This window comes from Homo sapiens, chromosome 8 (assembly GCF_000001405.40).
Source record: "Homo sapiens chromosome 8, GRCh38.p14 Primary Assembly".
Taxonomy (NCBI): domain Eukaryota; kingdom Metazoa; phylum Chordata; class Mammalia; order Primates; family Hominidae; genus Homo; species Homo sapiens.
This window is the reverse complement of record NC_000008.11, coordinates 18250798-18276057: the sequence shown is the minus strand read 5'-3', so window position 1 is coordinate 18276057 and position 25260 is coordinate 18250798. Positions and strand designations below refer to the sequence as shown.

General features: G+C 38.4%; 1 pseudogene, besides 1 other annotated feature; it reads right to left on the bottom strand.

The window, feature by feature from the left end:
- Positions 1029-1528: an enhancer, noted in NCBI's record as "H3K27ac hESC enhancer chr8:18132039-18132538 (GRCh37/hg19 assembly coordinates)". NCBI's record gives its function as "activates a minimal SCP1, AML or CMV promoter by ChIP-STARR-seq in primed H9 embryonic stem cells {active_cell/tissue: H9 hESC(primed)}" and the evidence as "EXISTENCE:reporter gene assay evidence [ECO:0000049][PMID:30033119]".
- Positions 13295-13364, bottom strand: TRK-TTT17-1 (tRNA-Lys (TTT) 17-1; annotated as a pseudogene).

The window sequence follows — 25260 nt, the reverse complement described above, 5'->3', positions numbered from 1 at the left end:
CATTTCAAAGAGACACATAAAGAACATGTTTTCTAAAGTAAATACTCCAAGGAAAGGGAAGAAGAGGTCTCTTCCCTTATATTCATCAGGAAGAAATAAGCCCCTTTTTAGTTTTTATTTGTCTTTACAAGAGTCAGCAGAACACATACAACCTTGCTCTCCTTCCTTCTAATCTTTTGCTATACTCCTCATTGACTGAATCTAACTGGAAGCAGAAGGCAAGGAAACTTGTTAATGAGGTCCATACAGCATGCCTTCCTGAGCCAACAGCAGGGTAGAGATGGGTGGAGAGTGGATCCAGGGGAGCTAGCTGACCTCTGACATTCAGAGGAGCATAGAAGAGGGAGAGGGTTTCAAGATGTGTGAATAAAGATGTCAAATGCTCTAAAGCAATCAAGTGAGATAAGAACTGAAAACATACCCACTGGATTTAAAGACAGATTTATCCATCTTTGACTTAAACTATTTCAGTGGAGTAGTAAGAGTAGAAAGCATATTGGGCTAGTTTGAGCAGTTAACAGAATGTCGGGAAGTAGAGATGAATGGAAAGGACTCTTACAACATGATTGTCTTTGGTGATACGGACGGAAGTGGTAAAGATGATATTTAGTCTACTTTCTAGAATGTAAGACACTTTAGGATGGGAGACACGAGCATGTTTGAATACTACTAAAAAACATTGTCTTACTGACTGAATATTTTACTGGAATGGGGTCGCGATTCAGACCCCAAGAGAGGGTTCTTGGATCTCACGCAAGAAAGAATTTGGGGCAAGTTCACAGTGCAAAGCAAAAGCAAGTTTATTATGAAAGTAAAGGAATAAAAGAAGGGCTACGCCATAGACAGAGCAGTCCTAAGGACTGCTGGTTCCTCATTTTTATGGTTATTTCTTGATGATATGCTAAACAAGGGGTGGATTATTCATGCCCCCCCTTTTTAGACCAAATAGGGTAACTTCCTGACATTGCCATGGCATTTGTAAACTGTCATGGTGCTGGTGGTGAGACACAGGACTAGCTGGATTGCCTAGGCTAAGAATTCCTAAGCCTAGCTGGGAAAGGTGACTACACCTACCTTTAAACACAGGACTTGTAACTCAGCTCACACCCGACCAATCAAGCAGTAAAGAGGGCTCACAAAAATACAAATTAGGCTAAAAGCAGGAGGTAATGAAATAGTCAAATCATAGATGCCTGAGAGCACAGGAGGAAGGACAATAATCAGGATATAAACCCAAGGTGCTCAGGCTGGTGGGGGCAACCCCCTTCGGGTCCCATCCCATTGTATGGGAGCTCTGTTTTCACTCTATTAAATCTTGCGACTGCACGCTCTTCTGGTCCGTGTTTGTTACGACTCGACCTGAGTTTTTGCTCACAGTCCACCGCTGCTGTTGGCTGCTGTCCCAGCCCACCGTTGACTTCCACCCCTCAGGATCCAGCAGGGTGTCCACTGCACTGCTGATCCATTGAGGCGCCCATTGCCACTCCTGATCGGGCTAAAGCCTCGCCATTGTTCCTGCACGGCTAAGTGCCCAGGTTCGTCCTAATCGAGCTGAACACTAGTCGCTGGGTTCCACGGTTCTCTTCCGTGACCCACAGCTTCTAATAGAGCTATAACACTCACAGCATGGCCCGAGGTTCCATGCCTTAGAATCCATGAGGCCAAGAACCCCAGGTCAGAGAACAAAAGGTTTGCCGCCATCTTGGGAGCTGCCTGCCCCATCTTGGGAGCTCTAAGAACAAAGACCCGCCCATAACAGTGGGAGTGTAGCAAGTAAGGACAACCAGAGATCACTCCCGTGGCCATCTTGGTTTTGGTGGGTTTTGGCTGGCTTCTTGACTGCAACCTGTTTTATCAGCAAGGTCTTTATGACTTGTGTCTTGTGCCGACGTCCTATCTCATCCTGTGACTTAGAATGCCTTAACTTTCTGGGCATGCAGCCTAGTAGGTCTCAGCCTCTTTTTACCCAGCTCCTATTCAAGATGGAGTTGTGCTGGTTCACACGCCTCTGACAATGGCTGGGAATTCAGTTTTTCAGGTTTCTCTGGGGTTCCCTTGGCCCAGAGGGAATATATTCAGTTGGTTGGGGGTGGGGGGCTTAGGATTTTAATTTTGGCTTATGGCAAGCAGGTAGATGATGTTGAGCTAAGCAGATTGAAGAAATTGATTCAAGTTTTATGAACTGGGGAGAGCAAATTAGGGAAATAGTTGGGTTGCCAGGCAATGCGGAAGTCTCGTGGAGCTTGGAGTGGCACCAATCTATGATCTTTCTCAGCACAATATGAAATGAGTCATTTTAGAAAATATGCACTGAAGTTAGCTCTCATTGCCCTGATAGGTAAGACAAAAATTAAATGAATTACATAGTTTTCATCTTTTGAAATAAAATAATTTTATTGATAGACAGTTATTTTTGTAATTGAATGCAGGGATGAATCTAGAATGAATAGCTATCTATAAAGGCCATTGAGTAACGTATCAGGTAATGTTCTCAGGTCCAGTTTGTGGAAGATAGAGAAGCATTAACATGGGATTAATTATAATGAAGAAACTAAAGGCTGGGGAAAAAGAAAATGCAGCTGAAGTGGATGTTATCCTTAGGAAAAAAAAAACTTTTATTGCCATGAGCCTTAGAGGGACAAAGGGAATAAGAGAGTAAGAGAAAAGTATTAAACTTTAACACATTAAAGACATTTCTGCAGGAGTTTGAAAAAATGTGGTCCAGTGTATTGCTTTGTGATATTTTGACAACAAATGAAAAGGTTAGCATTTAGAAATAGGTGGTCAACAGATCTGCTGATGCCTCTCTCAAATATCAGATGTCTCCAGTGAGCTTTAGCAAGAGCTGGCTAAACATTAATGCATGCATGGCTGAGTTCTCTGAAGGGTGTCTGCTTGAAAAGTTGACATTCCATGCTATTGATTTGTGTGTGTGTGTGGGAGTAAAAATTTTTGTTTTTGTTTTTTATCATCTCAGCATTATGAAAGCATAATTGATGAATGAAAATTGAATTTATTTACGGCACACAATGTGATGATTTGATATATTTATACACTGTGAAACGATTAAACCAAGCCAGTTAACATATCCATCACCTCAACTTACCTTTTTTTTGTGGTGACCATTTAATATCTATTCTCTGAGCAATTTTCCAGTTTACAATATCTTACTATTAGCCATAGTCACAGTGATATACAATAGATTGCCAGAAATTATTCCTCTAGTCTAATGAATACTTTTTATCCTTTGACCAACATCTCTCCTTCGGCTAAATGAATGACTATTATTTTATGGTAACCTGTAATCCTATTTTGGTCAAGTGTTTTAAACCTTTGACATATTTGATAGGCATCCCAAAATCAAAATTTTGCTTCAAAATAAAGTACTTTTTGGCTTTTAACTGTGGGATGCTACAGAGGGTGCCTGAAGCATACAAAAGAGAGATAAACAGGATTATTTGGTATGTTAAATTATATAGGAAGCATTGTCAAATAAGAAATGATGTCTAACCTTCGAGTTATATTTTAATGAATATGTTATTAATATAGGTTCCAAAATTGTATGGGATTTCTAACATTCTAATATGTCTGGGTATTTTGTCAGTCATAATTACGACTGATATAGCAACCAACATAATAACATAATGGCTACTATGGTAAATTGTAGGCTGCAGAAATAACCAAATTTCCTTAACAATTGTGTCTTTAACTATGACTTTTTTAAGTCATTTCCACAGTAAATTCCTTAATTCTGATGCAGTTTCTGAAAACTTCACAAGCATGCAAAATCCTAGAATATTGAGTCTTTAAGGAGGTTCATGAAACAGATGGAAAAGACCCTCACAAGCACTCTTAGATACAGATTTCTGATAACTTCAGGATAATATCATTTGGACTGGGTAAGAATTCCTGGAACTGTAATGAAGAGACTGGTTGGTTTATAATACTGCTAACCCAAGCAGAACAAAAATTAGTTGAATAGCGAGAAAATACTTTACCAGATTTTCACACTTAATCAGCCAGTATTGAAATTGTTCAGATATGCAGTTGAATAAACTCCATGGTCCAAGTCAAATTACCTGTGATAACCCATCAGTTATCAGTTCTATGCACCTAAATTGGAGAAACAAAAATTTTAAGAGATGTTTAAGAGGACGTAAGCTCAGTGGTGAGCCTGGACTCATGGAGAACCTGGCTGGCCGCCTTATTCTTCCTGAGTCCTTAAAGCTCTTGTTATTAAAAGCTCTGCATTCTACAGCTCATCATGGAAGAGTAAAGTGACCCAAATTAAAAATACATATTGGTATGGTAACTCTTCTAAATTGCTAAAATGGCTTATGACCAATGTTTGATTTGCCAAATCCATATTCCTGGGAAGACAATAAAAACTTAAGGCACATTTTTTGCCACCTGTTAGGCCATTTAAACATTTATGGTGGGATTTCATTCATCATTCTCAATGCATGTTTTCTGTTTGCATAAAAGCTTTCCCATGCAAGAGGGCTGATAAAACAGTAGCTAAAGAATTATAAGGAAACATGTTTTTCTCATGGGACATTCCTGGAGAAATATCCAGTGATAGAAGTACCTGTTTCACTGGGCAAGTTTAAAACAGTTAAATAAGGTGTTACACATTCTATAGCATTTGGCAACTCTAACTGAATTGACTGGATTGCTTTGGTCAAATGTATTGAAAATTAATGACGATCAGATTCACTTCCAGTGTAAAACATAAATTGACATCTTATAAAGTAGTCACTGAAGGGCATGTGCCCCTAACAATAGGGCCTCATGTATTTTCCAATACTAAATTCTGATATAACTCAATGCTGCAAAGTTTTAATGCTTGATTTTTTAATGCTACTGATTTTTATATGTTGATCTTCTATTCTGCAACTTTATGGAATTCATTTATTAGTTTGAACAGTTTTTGGTGGTGTCTTTAGGATTTTCTATGTGTAATATCACATCATGTGCAAACAAAGATAATTTTAGTTCTTCCTCTCCAATTTGGATGCCTTTTATTTCTGTTCCTTGCCTAATTGTTCTGTCTGGAGCAGTACTGCATAGAATAGGATTACTGAAAATGGTCATGCTTGTTTTGTTCCTGATCTTAGAGGAAGGCTTTTGGCCCTTTAGTACTGACTATGAAGACAGCTGTAGAGATGTCATGTATAGCCTTCTTTGTTAAAATATATTACTTCTAACCTATTTTGTTGAAAGTTCTTATGCTCAGGCCTGAGGGAGGGGTGACATGTTTAATGTGAAACTGTTCTTCATGTCCTCTTCAATGTATGTTTCCTTATTCCTGGGTTACATCCAGGTGCTGCGATCTCTACCCTAGATTTCTTATCTTCTATGAAGGTGGTTTCACATGTGGACAGCACTCAGAAGTCCTATTCTACCAACTTGCTGATGTCACCTTGTTACTGTTGATTGAAGAGAAATCCAAATGCTTCACTAAACAGATGTGTTGGAGGCAAATAGGTCTTTCAGTTGTTAAAGTTTAAAAGGCTGATGCATTCTCCAGCCCACTTACCTGAGGACAGATACTGTTTGTTGAATTCCATGATGGTCTCATCTTTACCAAAAGTGCTGGAAAAAAAAAAAAAAAAAAAACGACACACACACGTTTATGTTTAAATTAGTAAATTTAAACTGAATTTTTGGATTTTACTGCAGTACTTGAGATCAATGGAGAAGTTTCAGGACAGGTTGAGGCATACGTGTTTGGGCAGGTTAATAATTTGGAATTTCTTCAGATATTTATTCAATATTGAAGATAAATAGGGGAAGGGTGAGAAAAGCTCAGTTTCTGCTCTAAGCAGCTGCTGTGCACAGAAGTAGTGCAACTCTCGCTCCTAGCTCGTATCCTACACAGCATAACAAAAAGCCTTTAAATTGCCCATACCTTACTCTTGGAAAAGGTTTGCCCTTCGGGGATTTCATTATTTACCCTCTACCAGCTTCTAGATTATCAAGTTATCCCTTCTAATCACATATTACCCTCCCTGAGAGGAGTTTGGGAAAATGTAGTTTTCTTCCTTTCTAATACATTTCTTGTGATTTAAAAATGTTTACCTTATAGATTAGATTGGGACTTTATGGGACTGGCTTTTTGGTCTGATTCTTAATCCAACTCAATTTGGGAACCCATGACAAATAATCAAAATAAAAGCAAATACGTTCCAGTGTCAATTTATTAGGAAAGACTGGTCTGCACCGTACCACATCCCGAAATTCTTGTAAAAAATCAATAGCAGGATGGCTCTATGGCAGTCCAGGCTGTGATTCTCAAAGGAAGAGGTAGATCCAGCTGAAAGAAAACACACACACACACACACACACACACACACACACACACACACACACACCTCATGGTTGAAACTGTGTTTAGTGAAGCATAATTAAGAAACGTGGCCATTTAAAGGGACAATGTTAAAGTAAGCTGTTGGTTCCTTGACTTAAAAATTTCATCATAGCCAATGTCACTATGCCAAATTTTGTGTAATGGGTGGTTGGGTTTCTTTTTTTTTTTTTTTTCTTTTGTCTAATTCTTGATTAACACCTGCACCAAGTCAGGAGAGTGTAGTAAATTTGGGGCTATTGGAATTGTGCCTGTTTTGGTAGAAGGTGTTTGAGAAGGGAAGTGGGTATGTTTGCCTTTTTAGTTTTTCTTTCAGAACAGAGCTGCCCACTCACTCCCAAATAAGAGATACGTGGGGAGAAGAGGCGTATTTTTACTTGGGAAGATTGTGTTCTCTTTAATGTGCAGGCTATTTCAATGGAAATGATGCCTTGGAAAGGACAATTGTTATTTATAAAGGAAACTCTCTTTAGAGGCAACATTTGCTTGAAATTCCTAAAATGTTATTTATGCTTTAGAACATTTCTCTGAGTTTGCAGCAATCTCTTTTCCTGTTCACCTACTATAAAGGGACCCTGATTTCTTGGTGACTTTTTGAGGATAGTCACAGTCCTGGACAGGGAAATACTACATTTTAAAATTCCCATTGAATCCTGTATTCTGACTTCCTCTTCTTCACCTTAACTCCACCTGCCATTCAATGCCTTCAGAGCTCAGAACATCACACTGTGTTAGCTAATGGAGGTCATGGCTCTCCCACCTGCCAGGCCTATATCTGTCTGTGTTTTTCTCAACTCCCTTCTTAGTGAAAAACTTCCTTTATGATTGGTAAGATTCGTGCGATTTTGCTGGTAAATGGGAGTCTCTTTGTATTAAAATGTGCAAGCTGTGACTCAAGTGCTCTCCTCTAACAGCAGCTAGAATTTAACAAGCATTTACTCAATTACTGCGTTAAGAATTGTACATATATTAACTCATTTAAGCCTCACAACATTCCTAATGACACTCTATTATTTGCTCCATTTTCAGATTAGGGAAAGGAGGTTCAGAGGGGTTGGGTAATTTGCCTGAAATCAATTAAGTGGCAGAGCTGGGAGTTGAACCAAAGCAGTCAGCTTTGGGGCCTTAAAAGGCCATCATTGTGCTGTGCCCCGCTACTTAATTCCACTCTCTCCTGACTGCCCACCAGCTTGCTCCCACAGTACACCCAAGCCACACCTACTTCCTTGAGCAAGTGGACCATTTCTTCATCTTCACTCTAAGAAGTTTGGTAAAAAACTCAGATTATTTGGGGGCCTGGCCACTTATCCTTCTCCCTTTCTTCTTCCTTTCCAACAATTTACTATAAGTTCATTCCATGATTCATATATTCTGGGGAAGAATATCTCTATTAGACCTTCAGCCTAAACTATGTGTTTTCATTCAACTTGTGCTAGAAAACTGTTGTGATATCAAACCTTTGTCTAACTATTAATATATTTGGTTCCCATTTGGCTGTTATTCTTTACATAGAGTTTCCTCAGGGCTTTACTAGAGAAGCTAGGGGTGAGTGGCAAGAAAGAATTTCTTGGACCATTTAGGAATATTCCTTGATCCTAAACCAGGATCTTTTCAATAACAAAATACTTTATCCTCAATCCCTAACACCGTGAGCCTACATTGGGTCTGAATTCTAGATACTCAAGTCACTAGTTTTATGTGCATTTTAATGGGGATTTAAATTTATTTATTTACTATTTGCACATCTTAATGAAGATTTAAATTATCAAAGAAGTAGGAGAATTGTTGTATGTGGGCAGCCATCTATACTGATCAGGGTTCTACAAGTCACAAACAACAGAGACTGAGTAAAGCAAGCTTAGAAGTGAGATTATGAATGACAGGAACTACTGTAGAGCCAGTCTTATGGATAGCCATCAGGAACCAAGAGAGTTTATCAGTTTATTTCATCTCTCTTTCTCTCTCTTGGACCATATGCTTGTTTTTGCTTATCAGCTGCATTCTTTTCTCTCTACGTATACCAGCTGGTTTCTTTTGCTTACATTTATATTTCATTGTCTCCTCATTAGAAAGGACATGGATGTTTGACAGCCTCTCTCTCTCTTTCTCTCTCTCTCTTTTCTCTGTCTCACACACACTACACCACACATGTATACATATACATACATCATGATCTCTTCACATTACTTTCTACAGATAATTGACCCTGTTTTTTTCTTTTACCAATCCCAAATTTCTAGTCTAAAAGCATAATAAATCAAAATTATCTTTTCAAGTCAAACCATAGGCACCGTTCGTCATCCTGCAAATGGACTTCCCTCACACTATTTAATCGGGGAGTTCAGGGAGGGAGCTGTGGTCCTTCCTGCGGTGCAGTTCAGAAGGGGTTCTGGAAAACGTCCTCAAAATGTGTCTAAATCATGTATTTTACTTGTAAGACTATTTAAGATTAAAGTGAAATTATTAGGTTATGGCAAAATAGAGGCTTCTTATTGAATTCCTGCGCATGAAAAGAAAGGTTCCTTCATGGGTATATTAGATATATTCTGCAGCATAGCAAATTACTCCAAAGCTCAATGGCTTAAAATAACACTTATTACCTTGCAATTTCTGTAAGTCAGGAATTCAGGTGTGGCTTAGCTGGAGCTTCTGCATCATAGCCTCTCACAAGTTGTAGTCAAAGGGCCAGCTGGGGCTCTAGTTATCTCATGGCTCAACTGGGGAAGGATCCACTCCCAGTCTCACATATGTGGTCATTGGCAGAACTGAATTCCTCACAGGTTGTTGGACAGAGGGAATCAGTTTCCAGCCTTTGGTGAGAAGCTTCCCTCAGTTCCTTGCCATGTAGGCCTCTGCATAGGGAAACTTAAAACATGACAGCTGACTTCATCAACCTGAGCAAGTGAGAGAGCAGAAGAGTCACAGTCTTTTATAATCTAACCTTGGAACTGACTTTACTTTTGCTAGTATTCTATTCATTACAAGAAGTAGACCAGGTCCATCCCACATTCAAGAGGAGGCGATTATACAAGGGCATTGATACCAGGAGGTGGGGATCACTGGAAGACATTTTAAAAGTCTGCTTACTCTAGTCCAGCCTCTGGTGCCTAATTCTCAGCATCCCTCCCAAACGCAGAATTTATTCTTAAATCTCCCCAGAGTCTAATCCTATTATGAGGAGAAGCCCTGATTTTGGCCCCTTTCCCCTAGAATTGGATAGGTTTGTTTTAAAAGAGAAATGCCTCATCTTCCTAGAATAAATTGAGAAGTTACTATGTAATATTACTTACAAGCAGAAAAATTAACATTCATAAACTAAGAATGTTGACCAGAGAAGACTACAGTAAGACTAATATTTCCAGCCTCACTTTACAGCTTTCCTTCATTTGATGACTGAAAAACCCCAACTTTTATATTTTTAGCCCTCATTTTAGGAACTAAGACACCCACCAATAGAAGATTAGCTGGAAAATGAAAGAAACACTACTTCTTGCTACTCACTGGAGTATCAAAATTGCCTAGCCAGAGTTTCTGCTTTTTCAGTATTGCATTTTTGGGTTATCCCTGGACAATATCCATCATTCTGTGGGTACTGTGATAGCACTGAGTGATGCTGGTAAGATGTAAGATGAAGGAAAAGTTGGGCAAACTGTAAGGCAGTGTGTTTTACATGCCAGAGAAATTATGCAGACAGTGAGCTTTAAATGGAGTAAGGAATTGGAAGCAAAGTGATGGCTGGGATGGGCTGGGAAGGCTTTGGAGAGATGAGAATGGAAGCAAGGCTTGAAGAATGAGTGAAAATTAGTGAAGAATATGGAGTGACATTACAGGCAGCTGGACTTCCAGCTGGGACAGAGAAGAAGACTTAAATTTTGGAGAAAAGATTTCACAAGGCACTCAGTCCATGCGCTATGTAATTAGACAGTAAATAGCACTTATTGATAGTGATTCTGCAATGAACAGGTACCACAGGGGATACCAAGAAGTAAATACAAACTCTGATTCTTGCCCTTACGCAATGGTCCATCTAGTTGGAAAGATAAGGCATGAGCATATAATAATAAAAGGCTGAAAATAAAAATCCCCTGATCAGTAATATATATAACAAAGGTTACAAGTGTTCAAAAGTGGGAGGAATTATTTCTATGATGAGATTTATGGTGGCTTTAAAGAATTGTATCTTCCTAGACTCCACTTGAACCCAGACATGGAATGCTAGGGTGTTTGGACACGTGAAGTGAGATAGTGGTGGCGGTAATGAGTATTTTATATACAGAGAATAGTGCAAGCAAAAGCGACAAGTCAAAAAGAGGCAAGATTTTTGGAGAACAATTTTATCTACAACATAAGAATTACTTGATTTTGCACAAGGAAATATGACTAAGCACAGTGGGGGTGTCATGTTGAAAAAAAGAAAAAGGACCAATTCAGCCAAAACCAGGGAACACAACCTGGAGCTTCAGTTCTTAATGAACTATGGAACAGAAAGCATTTCCATTTGTTCTCTTGTAGGTGGTAGGGTGACCAGAGTATTTTCCATTTTAGCACTCTCTGCATCTAATTCAGAACCAGACAGGAGCAATGGCTGAAGTGCTATGTTCATAAATTGTTGTCTTGGGCAGCTGGGAATGGTATTAGATGATGCTGTTTGGAACTGACTTATTCTGGAACACAATCAATCAGCTCATCTTCTCCATTTTACTGCTATTTTTGTCATGTAGAAGAATGGGGGTGACTCTCATTTTCCTGTTGTATTCCAGTGATCTTGCAAAGGCAAATTATCCTGACCAAATACATAAAAATTGTAATGAAATAAAGCTATTGATGCAAAGCTGTGTTGGTGGTCCCTTGGGCCTCTGTTGCGTTTATTTTGAATTTTTAGTAGTCTTTATGTTATGTCTGACTTTAGCAGTTCCCTTTTGGTTCTTTTAATTTGCTGTTTTCATTTGCCTTGCACCACATATGCCCTAATGTCTTGTGTTTAAGTGTGTCATCTGTGGACCAGAAGCATTGACTTTCAGGCCTCATCTAAGATCTAAGGAATCAGAATCTGCATTTTAACAAGTTCTACAGCTAATCTGTATGCACATCTGAGCTTGTAAATACTGGTATAATATATCCGAAGTTACTGCCTGGAGGAAGTACAGATGCAGTGCTTCCCTTGGCCTCCAAGTGCTGCATTAATGATGGGCACTAGTTCCCGCCCTTGAGAATCTCTTGTCTAGAATCATTCATAAGGGGTTTTGGTGTGCTAGAGAAAGATTAAAAAGTGGATGCTAAGGTAACATGAAATCTTGGTAATTCACCATGAGATTCTATAAGGAGATTAATTTTATTTACATAGGTAGCTTCCAATTTACTCTTCATTTTTCAACTGGACCACTAATCTTAGGGTGGAGTTCATCAGGGAATAGGGCCAGCAAAACACTTGCATTTTTCTGGAACTAATACTTACATATGTGAAAAGCAGGTGCAGCTGGAAGGCAGAGCACCTAGATCTCCAGAAATTAAGGATCAATTTTTACAATGACTCCTATGTACAGACTGAAGAGTGTACACTGACTATGTACACTGACTCCTTTGTCCAGGGCTGAGGCAAAAGCCCAAGAGGGATATGTAATGGGGCGGGGCGATGGAGGACTTCCACAGTGCACCTTGCTGCAAGGTCAATGCAACCTTAATCAGCCCACTCTGTGATCAACCCATCCCCCATGGGAGTCTAATCTCTTAATACCAAGTGTTCCCACAGCCTCCAAGTATCCAAACAGCACCTTTTAAATCTAGACATACAAAGAAACCAGTAGCCCCCCTGCAGTAATTACCATTACTGTAACTGCTGTCAGCTGCCTCCAAAACCACAGCACTTGCCGGTGATTTGTCAGCCATTGCACATCCAAAGGAGAGTGCTGTCTCACAGCACAAAGTAATTCCTGGTACCTTCAAAAGCCCAAGAGATCAGGGAACTCAATGCAAAAGAGAATAGAGGTTTGAGACCTGAGAGAAACCACTCATGACCCTTGGGTGTCCATGAGAAAAACACGAGACCCAAAAGTGGTCGTTGGTACCTTGACTGTGTTCCTCAAGAGGAATCAGAGTCTCTAGAGGTCCCTTTTCGATTCCTCCATGTGATATCAAAGATGGCAAAAAGAAAGGAGGAGGAGAAGTGGAAGGAAATGGAAGAATAGGTCTTAGGCGGAACCAGTTTGGAGAGATTTTAAGTTTTCCAAAAGGCCAATGAAATCTTACCTTTTTTTTCTCAGCACAAATCATGCCAACAGGAAAGGATGTGAACAGAAGGACCAAACGTATAATTAAAAGAGGGTTTCATTCACCTGAAAAAAAATTCCCAGAGGAGTAACAGGATCCAAAAGAGAAAAAGCAGAAAGACCTTTTGTACAAAAAAAAAATTACAGCCTGAATATCAGCTTTTAATTAAGCTGATTTCTGATTGTGGAGCTCTTAAAAAAGCTTTTTATACAAATCTCTTATTACCAGGCTTTCACTAGGACAAACAGACAGTATCCCTGACTTTTGAACCTTCAGAATGACTCAGAACCAACTAAATTAAGAACATGTAAGATATCTCCAAAGAGATGCAAGGCATTTCCCTCAAGATCCAGAGCCATCCCAAAGGCAGCTCAGAGAAAGGAAAGTTTCACTCACCACCAGTGGGCACAACCCACATTTTTGTCTGGCCATATTTTCCAGGCCACATTCTTCCCAGCTGACTGCACACAGAAGCTGACCTTCTAGTGTGCCCTATCTGTAGAAGATTAAAAGAGACAGTCAGTGAGACAGGAAATCAAAAGCTGTCCGTGGAAGGTGAAAGGATCAATAACAAATGGGTACTCCAAAAAGTCAAGAGCCACACAAATATCAAAGCAATTCTTCTTTTGAGTTAAAGGAGTTACACCTCCAAGGGATTGATTCCCTGACTGGGTATTGAACCCAGGTCATGGTAGTAAAAGCAAAGAATCCTAATCACTGGGCTATAGGATCAAGTGCCTTTGTAGTAAATCCCACAGAGGATCCAAAGCCAGCATTTGAGCATTTAAAGGATTTTAACTTTGCTTCAGGTCAGATTTTTTGCTCTTTAATTTAGTCAGTAGGCTAATTTCTAAGGCTAGCCATGACATCAACATGTGTCTTTCTTTTAATTTGCTCCTTCCATAAATATAAATGAGGTAATTGTTGAGAGAGCTCTCTACACATCTTTGATTTTTTAATTTAGAGATCTTTCTAATTTAAAGGATTCATCTCTTGGCCCCTGATAATTAGAATTTCCAAGGGTGCCCTTGTTCCAATAGTGACTCAATCCAATAAGCCTCTTCATGGAAAGCCCAGGAGGTAATTTTCCAGGTTTAGAGTAAGTTTTACCATACAAGCAAGAAGTGTTTTGGAGAGGGCATAGAAGAGGCAGTCCCAGTGATGCCAAAAAAATTTTCCTGCCGGGAATAGGCTAAGAAAGCAAAAGACTCTTGCTGCCTCAGACAGTTAAGGATGGGTGTCTGTGCATCCTCCAGTATCCCACAAATTTGTAGAGTACTGCCAGTATGAGACCTGTTAATCTGTGACACTGGGAAGACCCTCTTGTGATTGGATTTTTCTAGGACTAACCAGGCAACAAGAGTTGAAATGATAAAAGCCCTTTATAGATAGGACTTATTAAGACAACCGCCCCTCAGAGCTTGCCATGTTCAGAACAGAGTGTGCTGCTTAAAATTTGGCATGTCTTGGGTTCCCAGGCTTTTTTCAGGTGGACCACTGGATGTGACCTGATCATTTTCTCCCCTGTTTCCTCACGTGGTGAACGAGAGGCTGCTCCTACTTCATCATAAGTTAAGCTCTCAAGGACATAAGGCGAGAGGAAAACCTCATTCAGTTTCTTATTTCGGGGACCCATTGCAAAGTTTTCCTAAATAGACAATTGTTTGCTGAAAACTGCAAAACTCACCAGTCTGCAGAGCTAGTTTGAATAATGGGTTTATCAGGGTTTTAGACCCATGTTCTACCCTATTATACCCCTCTTATGAAAAAAAATGATACAGGAAGACAAAGAAAAAGGAAAGAACTGTTTTTGGAAGGAAAAGGATCGAACAATATAAATATATCAAAAGTACACGAGAGTCACTACACCTAGGACTAGTAATATAAATGTTTTCCTGCCATAAATCAACAGTTTGGAGAGGAAAAGGTGACAAGTTGAGGTTTTTACTGTCTACCCAATGGAATTCCACAGAAACCGGAAGCCTGCCTGGTAAGAAATGCTTGCCATTTTGCCAGACTTTCCGGCATCGGGCTCCCTTGACTGCAGCTTCCAGAAGAGCAGAGAGGCTTTGGCAGCCTGCTCTCGGCATCAAAACTGAAGGGGCAAAGGGAAAACTTTTCCTTCACCCTCTGAATATTTGCTGAAAATTAACTGACAAAAGGGAGGTTAATAGGAAAAAAGACATACATGTCAGAGAGATTAACCCTCAACGCAATGGAGTAGAGATTCTTCTATACTCTTAGGGGAAAGGAAAAAGGGGAGGTGTACATAATTTTAGGAGGATAATAAATGTTTTCTAGAGAATTCAGTGGGCTTAGAGAACATACAATGGCCTGGGAGAAAGTCGGGGCCCACAGATCAGACAATGGTTTGTGACGAAAGTCTATCCAAGTGTGTGGACAGACTTCAGTCTTCCTGTGATAGGAGTTCAGTCAGTGAAAACTTAGGTAAGGGACCAGAAGTAATTGTTTTCTTCTTTGGTGGGTCCAGACTTGAGGCAGATCAAGAACTTTGAGAACAACTTCATCCTGCTCTAGGAGAGAGACAAGGGACTGAGAGAGAGATGGAGAGGCAGGGGGCGGGAGCATTCAGAGAGACCTTGAGGCTTCTTCAGTCCAGCATAGCGAAGCGCCATATTTGGGGTATCAGTTTCTGAGCCCCAGCAGGGGGATACTGAGTATCCATCCTCCATCTCCCAGAATGAAGCACAACAGGAAACATGAAGTTAGGACTGTCTTGAGAAGGAACAAACTGACCTTGTGAGAATTACTGTAAACAAACCTCTCTAGAGCTGAGGATGCAGTTTGGGAGAGAGTCAAAAATGTTGGAGAGGGTGGGTGAGTTCAGAAATTAGAGGATAATAAAATTGTGTGTGACAATCATAGAATAAAAATAGTGTTTGGTAGGAAATAAGGCGTTAAAGTTATTGGGAAGATTGGAAACGGGAGAGATTATAGTCAAAACAGCTCCAAAATGTTCAAAAAGTCAAGGAAGAAGATGGAGAACTGCTTAACTACACAGTGAGGACGAAGAGAGAAAAAAGATATGAGACAGGTGAAAAGAAAACTTGATACATTCCTATGCTTTATCCCCAACATTCATAGACAATGCCAAAGTTTAAGCCTGGCTGTCTAAAAGAGTAATAATGCTATTGTTAAAAAATAGGAAAGTTAGAAATGGGAGCTAATTTTTTCAAGGAAATGATAAGAGCTGCAATGGATAAAGTACATTTTTGTATTTGAGAAGCTGGAGAAGAATTATCTGGAACAGCCGCCCAGAGCTCCTGGAGGCATCCATAGTGCCATTCACAGCCCACCCAGTAAGATGTACATAGGTTTGAGTAAAATTAATAAAAATGGTGTATTAGTTACGTTCTGTTTATATGTATTTTAAGGTATAATAAATTGGCTTGATGGGTAGGTATAGTACTTATAAAGAAATCAAAGGCATACTTAACAGTGAGTAGAAAGACCACTAGAACCATCTCTAATATAAATAGCAAGAAACATTTTTTACCACAACCACTTGATGTAAATAATAGAATAAATAAAAAGTAAATAGAAAGTAGTTCACATTTTCTTTTTACTTATGAAAGTAATTAAATTTAGTTGTGGAAATTTCAAAGATAAGCAAAATAATACTGTGAATGTGTTTGTGTGTGTGTGTGCATACACACAATGCTGTAACTTTTATCTCATGGAATATATTTCAGACATCTTTTTATGTAAATGTTTATTGGTCTAAGAATGCCAAATTTCAAAGTGCAAGATGCTAAGAAACAGAGACGTGCAGAAGGAAGGGAAAATTTAATCATAGAAGTCATGCTACAGAGTTTAGGCTGATAGTATCCTTTTTTTTTTTTTTTTTTTTGCATTGACTGTGAGGAGAAAGAATAAGCAAGATTAAAAAGTAAGAAACTTAATCTCGGCAAAGCTTTTCTTACAGTAAGTTGCAGGTAGTAACTAACCAGATCTTCATCAACACAATGAAAATAAAAAATAAAAAACATAAAAATGAATAAGTCTTTAAGTCTGAAGAGAGAAAATATTTCAAACAAGATCCAGAGTCATGTATGTTCTCTACTGACACTAAGAAATAATTCAAGCATCTGAAACTTATATTCTATTTAAAACTAATATTAGATCAGACAGGATATAACTGCATTGACTAACAAGGCTTTACTGAATTATTAAGAGCTTTGGAGTGAAAGAAACCTGGTTTCATTGGTTCTGCCAGTTTCCATCTATGTGACCTTGGCAAGTTATTCAACCCTGCTAAATTTAATCTGGGAAAAGGATTGATAGTAATCATTACCTTATAAAGATGTAGTGAGAATAATTAAGAGAATTCATGAAAAATATTTAGGAAAGTATATGGAACATAGCATCGGCATTACTATACACAAGCTAAGTAGAATCGAAAATAGGAAGTTAAAAAGATTGGTTGTATCCCCTAAATTCACGGAAAAGCCTCTGGAGGGTAAGACTCTGCAGCATGTTTTGTCTATCTTCCCACCACTCCTCAGCCACCCCACTCCTCTATGGTCTCTGAGGAATAATAAAAACTCAATCATAATAGAATGTATTAAATGGTAGCATCTTGAATTAGTAAGGAAAGTAGGACAAGATATTTAATAAAATCATTTGAGACAATTGAGAAAACTGACTATCCATCTGAAAAAAAAAATTATATCCCATCTCACTATCCTTCTCCCAAATAGAATCTAGATGGATTAAACATCTAAACATCAAAATCTCTATAAAGGATAATTAAAGAAATTGTACAAGAATGTGGTAATGACCATGAGGAAGAGTAGACCTTCTTAACACAAATACACACACACACACACACACACACACACACACACACACACACAGACACACAGGCAGGGAGATTCTCTGATGTCCTAGTCCAGTCTCAGTCTTAGGAAGGCCCTGTTTGCCCGGCCATGGGGTGGGGCTTTCTTGGCTTTTTTGTCCATTGTCTGCTTCTCCCCATAACAGATTAACTCTGCCTTATATTTGCAGTTGGCCTTGAGTGGAAGTTTTTCTGCCCTTCCCCAGATGGGAACAGACCTGTAATGGTATTGGTAGGGTGTAAAAAAAATAATGGTTTTATAGTTTACATGGCTTCTTCTCATTTTAGTGTGTGAGCAACACTCTTTCCATCTGTATGCATTCTAAATTCAGTATGGTTTCTTGTTCCTTCCCTGGGGGACTAATGAGTTTCTCTTCCACCCTTTCCCAAGCTGCAATAAATTTTCCTTTAACTTTATTCTGAGGATAATGCTTTCTGCCTTCTTCCAAGGGTTTAGTACTTTTTCTCCGTGGGAGAGAAGGTCTTAGGCAGAAGTTACATGTTTGTGCATTTCCTGTTGGAACCACCTATCCACTCCTGTGCGTTTACCCTACTGAGGAGGGCTATTTCCAGTCTTCCACCCTAATCATAATCTTTTTGATGAGCACCTGTTGAAAACCTGTGGAAAAGAGCATACAATGAGGATGGACTACCCTGCGTATGGGGGCACCAGCCGTTAAAGATTGATAAGCCAGCCCACACCTGGCTTCCAACAATTAGTTAAATGTGTAACTAATTTCCTCTTACCCACTTGCCCTCCATGTTCTGCCACAGGTGAACCAGTCTGCAGATATAATCTCTGCTTAAGATTCCTTTTCCTCCTGGTCATTTAGCTATTTGGTTTACCAACAAACTCGGCTCTCTCATTGGCTCAATAAAAGTTACGATTTTGTAGTTCATCTGACTTTTTCTCAGTTTTGGTGTGGAAGTGACACTCTTCCCAGCTTTTTACATTTCAGGCAGAAATAGAAATTCAAAGATTAATTTAAAAAAATTAGTGAATGAGTAAAATGGTACAGAAAGAATACGAATATAATGTAACCGATTGCTCAGCTAAAGATTTGATTTGTGGCATTTTTTTTGTTCTGCTTCAGAAAAAGTTATTTTGATAATCCCAAAAAATATTGACGAATTCTAGTTTAGAAGAGAACAAGACAAATAGTCCATTTTGTAAAGAAAGGGTTTAATAAAATACTTCATATTTAGAATTTTGAGAAGGAAATGCTGGTTAATTTCCACACTCATGAATAAACTAAATAGCCAGGGTGGGTGGAGGGAAGAACAGTGACTTTAGGGTCTTTGGAAAGCTGGGCAGCAAACTGGGTTCTACGTTTACTCCTGGGCTTGCTTGGTGTCCAGAGCAATGAGAATATGGGGATAAGGCTTGGTCACTGCAGCCTGGAGAGACTAGAAATGACACACTGTTAGTGCACCTTAGCGAGGAGAGAGATTGACCACCATCAAAGGACACTGATACTTTCATGTGTTTGGCTGTAGCCCAGAAAGACATTGTTACAAAGTGGACCAGTTTTATCAATCCAAGCATGAAGAAAAACTTCTATCCTTTGGCATTAAGTGGGAGAAATGACAGTAAAGTTGACTGATGTGGCCGCTGTGCTGAAAAAAATTGAGAGAGGGTATCGAATTTATCCTTTCACAAGAGGTTCTTCATTTTCCAAACCTTAAGTCATGCTGTGTAACAAATATTTAGATAACAGATATGAAACCCTAGAAACTCAGAGTCAAGGGAATATTAGTCCTCTCTTTTCATTCTTACCTGATATAGCCATTTGAAATAACTAATGGGAATTTTACTCAAAGAATTATGCAACTGTTAAAAAGAAATTCATTCTCTGCTTTCATCTCTCAAAGGGATCCAATTCATAACTCAGAGCTGCAATTAAAAATTCACGTCTTCCATTTTCTGACTTGTTCTCATTCTCTGACTGTTTCAGAGTCTCCCCACACATCACATGAACCCAAATCACATTCTCAAATTCTGGGCCTAAATGACCTTTGATCTAGTCTGTGCCCATTCCCACATCCCACGGCTCTTTACTATGCAACACTCATGGGCAACTTCTCTCCATTTATCCCACCTCTTCCATGCTATCTTGTTTGACTCACTCTCTTAATTCTGCAATGTTAAAATAGAGAAACGAGCCTCACAGGCTTTCTCGGGATCGGATTTGGAAGAGACGAAAGAAGTTGGGGAACGTTCTCTAACAAATGTCATGCCGGATACACAGGACTTCCTCAATAAATAACTGACACCACCAGAAACATGTTGGTTGGCGGGAAAGCTAGTGCTTCTTAAGGCACTCCCTTCTATTCTTTCTTTTTGCCAAAATTATTGGAAAAAGTACTAAATTTTTTTTAGATATTAACCAAGTCTGAATGCTTTAATAGTGGTAAGAATCAAAGAGTAGTGAGACTTTAGGCAAGAGGATAGAAGGAAAACAAATAATAAAATAATGGATGTGACAGAAGGTGGTTAGGGTTAAAGATGTCCAATAAAGTCCAATTTATTCATCAGATTTATGTTACAAGGTTCAATTTTTTGTCAGGTATATGAAACACTCAGAATATTATATACTGTGCTCTATGTTGCCTGCCTTAGCTTCATATAACTTGTTTTCTGATTAAGCTATTATTTGTGTATGTAATCTAAAGAAAAACGATTTTAGACATTTAAAAACATAAGGAAATGTTTTTCTAATTTTATTTTTATTTGACAAATAATCATATATTTATGGGGAAAATATGGCATTTTGATGCACATTTACATAGTGGAATGATTATATCAAGCTAATGAACACATTTATGAACTCAAATATTTATCATTTTGTGGCAAAACACTTAAAACCTACTTCTTAGCAATTTTTAAGTACATAATGTATAATATCTAAATGTAACTTTGTTTACTTTGATCAACATTTCTCTTTCCCTATCCACTCGCTTCCCCAAGCCTCTGGTAAACACCATTCTACCCTCTACTTCTATGATTTCAACTTTTGTAGATTCTCCACGTAACTGAGATCATGTAGTCTTTTTGTCTTTCTGTGTCCGGCTTATTTCATTTAACATAATGTCTTCCAAATTCATCTATGTCATCACAAATCACAGAATTTCCTTCTTTTAAAAAGACAAATCATATTCCATTGTGTATATATACCACATTCTATTTATCTATTTATCTTTTGATGGACACAGGTTGATTCTACATTTTGGCTATTGTGTATAATATGTAATATACCCAGTTGTGGAATTGCTAGATTATATCATAGTTCTACTTTTATTTTTTTGAGGAATCTCCATACTATTTTTCATAATGGCTACACTAATTAAATTTCCCACCAGCAAGGTACACAGGTTCCCTTTTCTCCATATCCTTGTCAACACTTGATATCGTTCATCTTTTTGAAAATAGCCATTCTCACAGGTATGAGGTGATATCTCATCATGCAAATGTCTCATTTATTTGTGTTTTCCTGACGATTAGTGATGTTGAGCATTTCTCTATATACCTATTGGCCATTTGTGTGCCTTCTGTTGAGAAATGTCTATTCAGATGCTTTGCCCATTTTACAATTGTTTATTTTCTTACTATTAAGTTGTTTGGGCTTCTTATATATTTTGGAGATTAATCCCTTATCAGATGTATGGCTTGCAAATATTTTCTCTGAATGTAGATTGTCTCTTAGCTCTGTTGATTGTTTCCTTGGCTGAATAGAAGCTTTTTAGTTTGATGCCATCCCATTTGTCTGTTTTTGCTTTTGTGTCTGTGCTTTTAGGGTCATTTCCAAAACATCATTGCCCAAACCAGGGTCATAGAGCTTTTTCCTGATCTTTTCTTCTAGTAGTTTTACATTTTCAGGTTTTACATTTAAATCTCTAATCCTTTTGAGATAATTTGTATATACGGTTTCAGATACAAATGGATACAAGTGGATACCAGTTGTCTCAACAGCATTTATTGAAGAGAGCACCTTTTCCAAAGATTTTTTGTTCTCTCTCCTGTTCCATTGGTCTATGTGTATGTTTTTATGCCAGTACCATGCTATTTTGATTACAATTACATTATAACATGTTTTAAAATTAGGGCTTGTGATTACTGTTCTTTTTGCTCAAGATTTGTACTTTTTTTGCTCAAGATTGTTTTGGCTATTGGGATTTTATTTTATGGTTCCCTGTGAACTTTAGGGTTAATTTATTATTTCTGTGAGAAATGTCATTGAAATTTTGATGGAGACTTCTTTGAATCTGTAGATTACTTTGGTTAGTATGAACATTTTAATAGTAGTGTTTTTTCCAGTCCATGAGCGCAAGATACCTTTTAATTTATTTATGTCTCTTGCATTTCCTTTCATTAATGTTTTACAGTTTTCAGTGTTCAGGTCATTTACCTCCTTTGTTAAATTTATTCCTAACTATTTCATTTTTTGTAGCTATTGTAAGTAAGATTGTTTCTGTAATTTGGTGGGTGGGGGGTAGTTTAGCATTATTGTATAGAAGTGCTACTGATTTTTGCACATTTATTTTGTATCCTAAAACTTTGCTTAACTAATTTATTAGTTCCAACACCTTTTTGGTGGAGTCTTCAGGGCATTCCATATATAGGATCATATAGTTTGCAAATAGGATCAGTTTAACTTCTTCCTTTCTGATTTGGATGCCTTTTATTTCTTTTTCTTGCCTAATTGCTCTGACCGGGACTTCCAGTGCTATGTTGAACAGTAGTGGTGAAAGTGATCATCCTGTATTGTATTCAATCTTAAAGAAAAAGCTTTCTGCTTTTTATGATTGAGCATAATGTGAGCTATAGGCATTTCATGTATGGCTTTTATTGTGTTGAGGTAATGCAAAAAAATTATTTTTAAATAACATAATATTTTTGACAAATCGTAATTGTATACATTTAGGAGGTACAGTATGCTGTTTTGATATATGTATGCAATGTGGCATGAATAAATCAAGTTAATTAACATATCCATTACCTCAGTTACCTATCTTTTTTATGGTAAAACATTTTAAAATTAATCTATTGTTTATTTTGAAATATATAATACATTATTATTTACTGTAGTCACCCTGCTATACAACAGATCTCAAAACGTATTCCTCCTATCTATCAGAAACTTTTTACCCATTGATCAACAAGTCTTCATTCCTTCCATCCCCACTCCCATCCCCCTAGCTGGTAACCATCATTCTACTCTCTACTTCTATGAGTTCAACTCTGTTAGATTCTGCATGTAAGTCAGGTTTTGTAATATTTGTCTTTCTGTGTATGGCTTATTTAACTTAGCATTACCTCCTCCAGATTCACTATCCTATTTCAGTGATGGGATTTCCCCGCCTTTTAAGACTGATAGTATTCCATTGTGTATATATACCACATATTCTTTATTCATCCATTGATGGGCACTTAGATTGAAGGGAATAGCAGCATATCTTCGCTATTGTGAATAGTGTTGCAATGAAAATGAAAGTGCAGATATCCCTTCAACATATTACATTCAGTTCCTTTGAATATATACCCAGAAGCAGAACTACTGGGTCTTATAGTAGCTCTATTTTTAGTTTTTTTAAGAATGTTCACACTGTTAGAAATAGAAACCACCGTCCTTTTAAAACCTAAACCTTGGGAGTGACACACTATCTCTTCAATTAGTGGCCTTTTATCTCAGCTTAAGAATGCCCTTTAGCAATCCCTGTAAAGCATGCCTAGTAGTGAACTCTCTCAACTTTTGATTGTCTGAAAAAGTTTTTATTTCTCCTTTATTTTTTAAAGACTGCTTTGCTAAGTAAAGTATTTTTGTTTGGCAAGTTTTCTTTTTTTACTTTGGCACTTTGACTATGTTATCCCATTCTCTCCTGGCCTACAGGGTTTCTGCTGAGAAATACACTGAAAACCATATTAGGGCTCTTTTGAGTGTGATATGTTTCTTATCTCTGCTGCTTTCAGTAGTCTTTTTTGTCTTTGTTTTTTACTAATTTGATTATGATGTGTCTTGGTTAACTTTTCTCTGGGTTAAATTAGATTGGCAACCTCTGAGCTTTCTGGATGTTGTCATCTTTCCCAAGATTTGGGAAATTTTAAGCCATTATTTGCTTAAATATGCTTCCCAAGCCTTTTACTCTATCTTCAAGAACTTTTACTATGTGAAGTTTAGTTCACTTGATGGCATTCCATAATTCCTTGAGAACTTCTTTATTCTTTTTTATTCTTTTTGCTCCTCTGATAGGATAATGTCAAACGTCTTGTTTTTGAGCTCACCAGTTCTTTTTTCTGCTTGGTCAATTTGCTATTGATATTTTCTATTAAATTTGCTAGTTCACTTATTCTTTATGTCTAGGATTTCCATTTTGCTTTTTATTGTTTCTATTTCCTTGTAAAAAAAAAACCCTCTCATTTTGTTCATGAATTATTTTTCAGATTTTATTTAATTTTCTATCTGTGTGTTCTTGTAGTTCCCAGAACTTCTCTAAGAGGATTAATCTGAATTCTTTGTCAGTCATTTCATAAATCTCCATTTCTTCCGAGTTCATTACTGGAGCTTTATTAATTTCTTTTGTTGGTATCATATTTCCCTAATATTTTATAATCCTTATGTTTTTACACTGATGGCTGCACATTTGGGGAGACCGCCATTTCTTCTGGACTTTGCAGTTGTTCTTTGGTGGAGATAGATATTTACTATTTAGTGTAGCTTGAGATTCTGAGTGGGCTGGCTGACAGCAACACTGGACAGGCATATCTTGGTGTAAGGTTTTGTAATTGGGCTGGGTCACATCCTATTCTCTGAGGTGAAGTGGTATTGTTGGCTGAGCTCCGAGGTCCGGTGAGACCACTGACTGGACTCTGATGCAAGGTGGGATTGCTGGCTTGGTTTTGCAATTGTCCCTGATGGGGGAGAATTGTAGATTGTCTTTCCTGGGTAAGCAGTGCTGTTGTCTGGAATCTGTAGCTATGCGTGGCTGTGTGATGGATTCTGAGGCTAGGTGAGGTCTCTAATGTTTTTGCTTAGCTACATAGGGTGGTAAGGGCCAGAGCCTATGCTCCATGGATATGTATGGACTTGGGCTTGCCTCCTGGTCTAGGGTATATTCAAACAGAGCACTGAGGCTTGGTGGAATCATCACTCTGCAGCTGGGGTTGGGCAAGACCAGATTCTTTCCCGTGTGGGTAATTGCTAACCTACCATTGCCTCCTGGCTTAGGGAAGACTTAAGGAGAGCACTAGGGCTTAGTTAGATCACCTCTCTACTGCTAGGTTTGGGCAAAACCAGATGCTGCCTCTGCAAATCACTGATCTCCAGTTACTTCTCAGCCTGGGGAAGATTTAATGCAAGTACCAGAACTTTGTTGGATCACTTCTTCATGACTAGGGTTGGATAGGGCCAGATCCTCCCTCTGCAGGTAGTCACTCACCTAAAGTTGCCTCTTAACCTGGGGAAGACAATGAAATCACACAGGCTGTATGAGGAAAGCTGGGTAGAGATTTGAGTCTGGAAGACTCATAAACTGTGTTTACTGCGGCTTGATGCTATTGGGTAGTTTCTCTGGTATGGTGCCTCCACTGGCTAGAATGCAGAACAAGCAGCGAGATTCCTGTGCTGGTCCCTATGAGCCCCATCCTCATTCTTTGTTTCTAACTGACTCCGGGTGGTCTAGCTTTACCAGTACTCCTAATGTGTCTTATGGGACGAGACAGTAGTGGGCCTCCTGCAAAGGGTCCCACAGTGATGGGGAAGCTAAATATCTA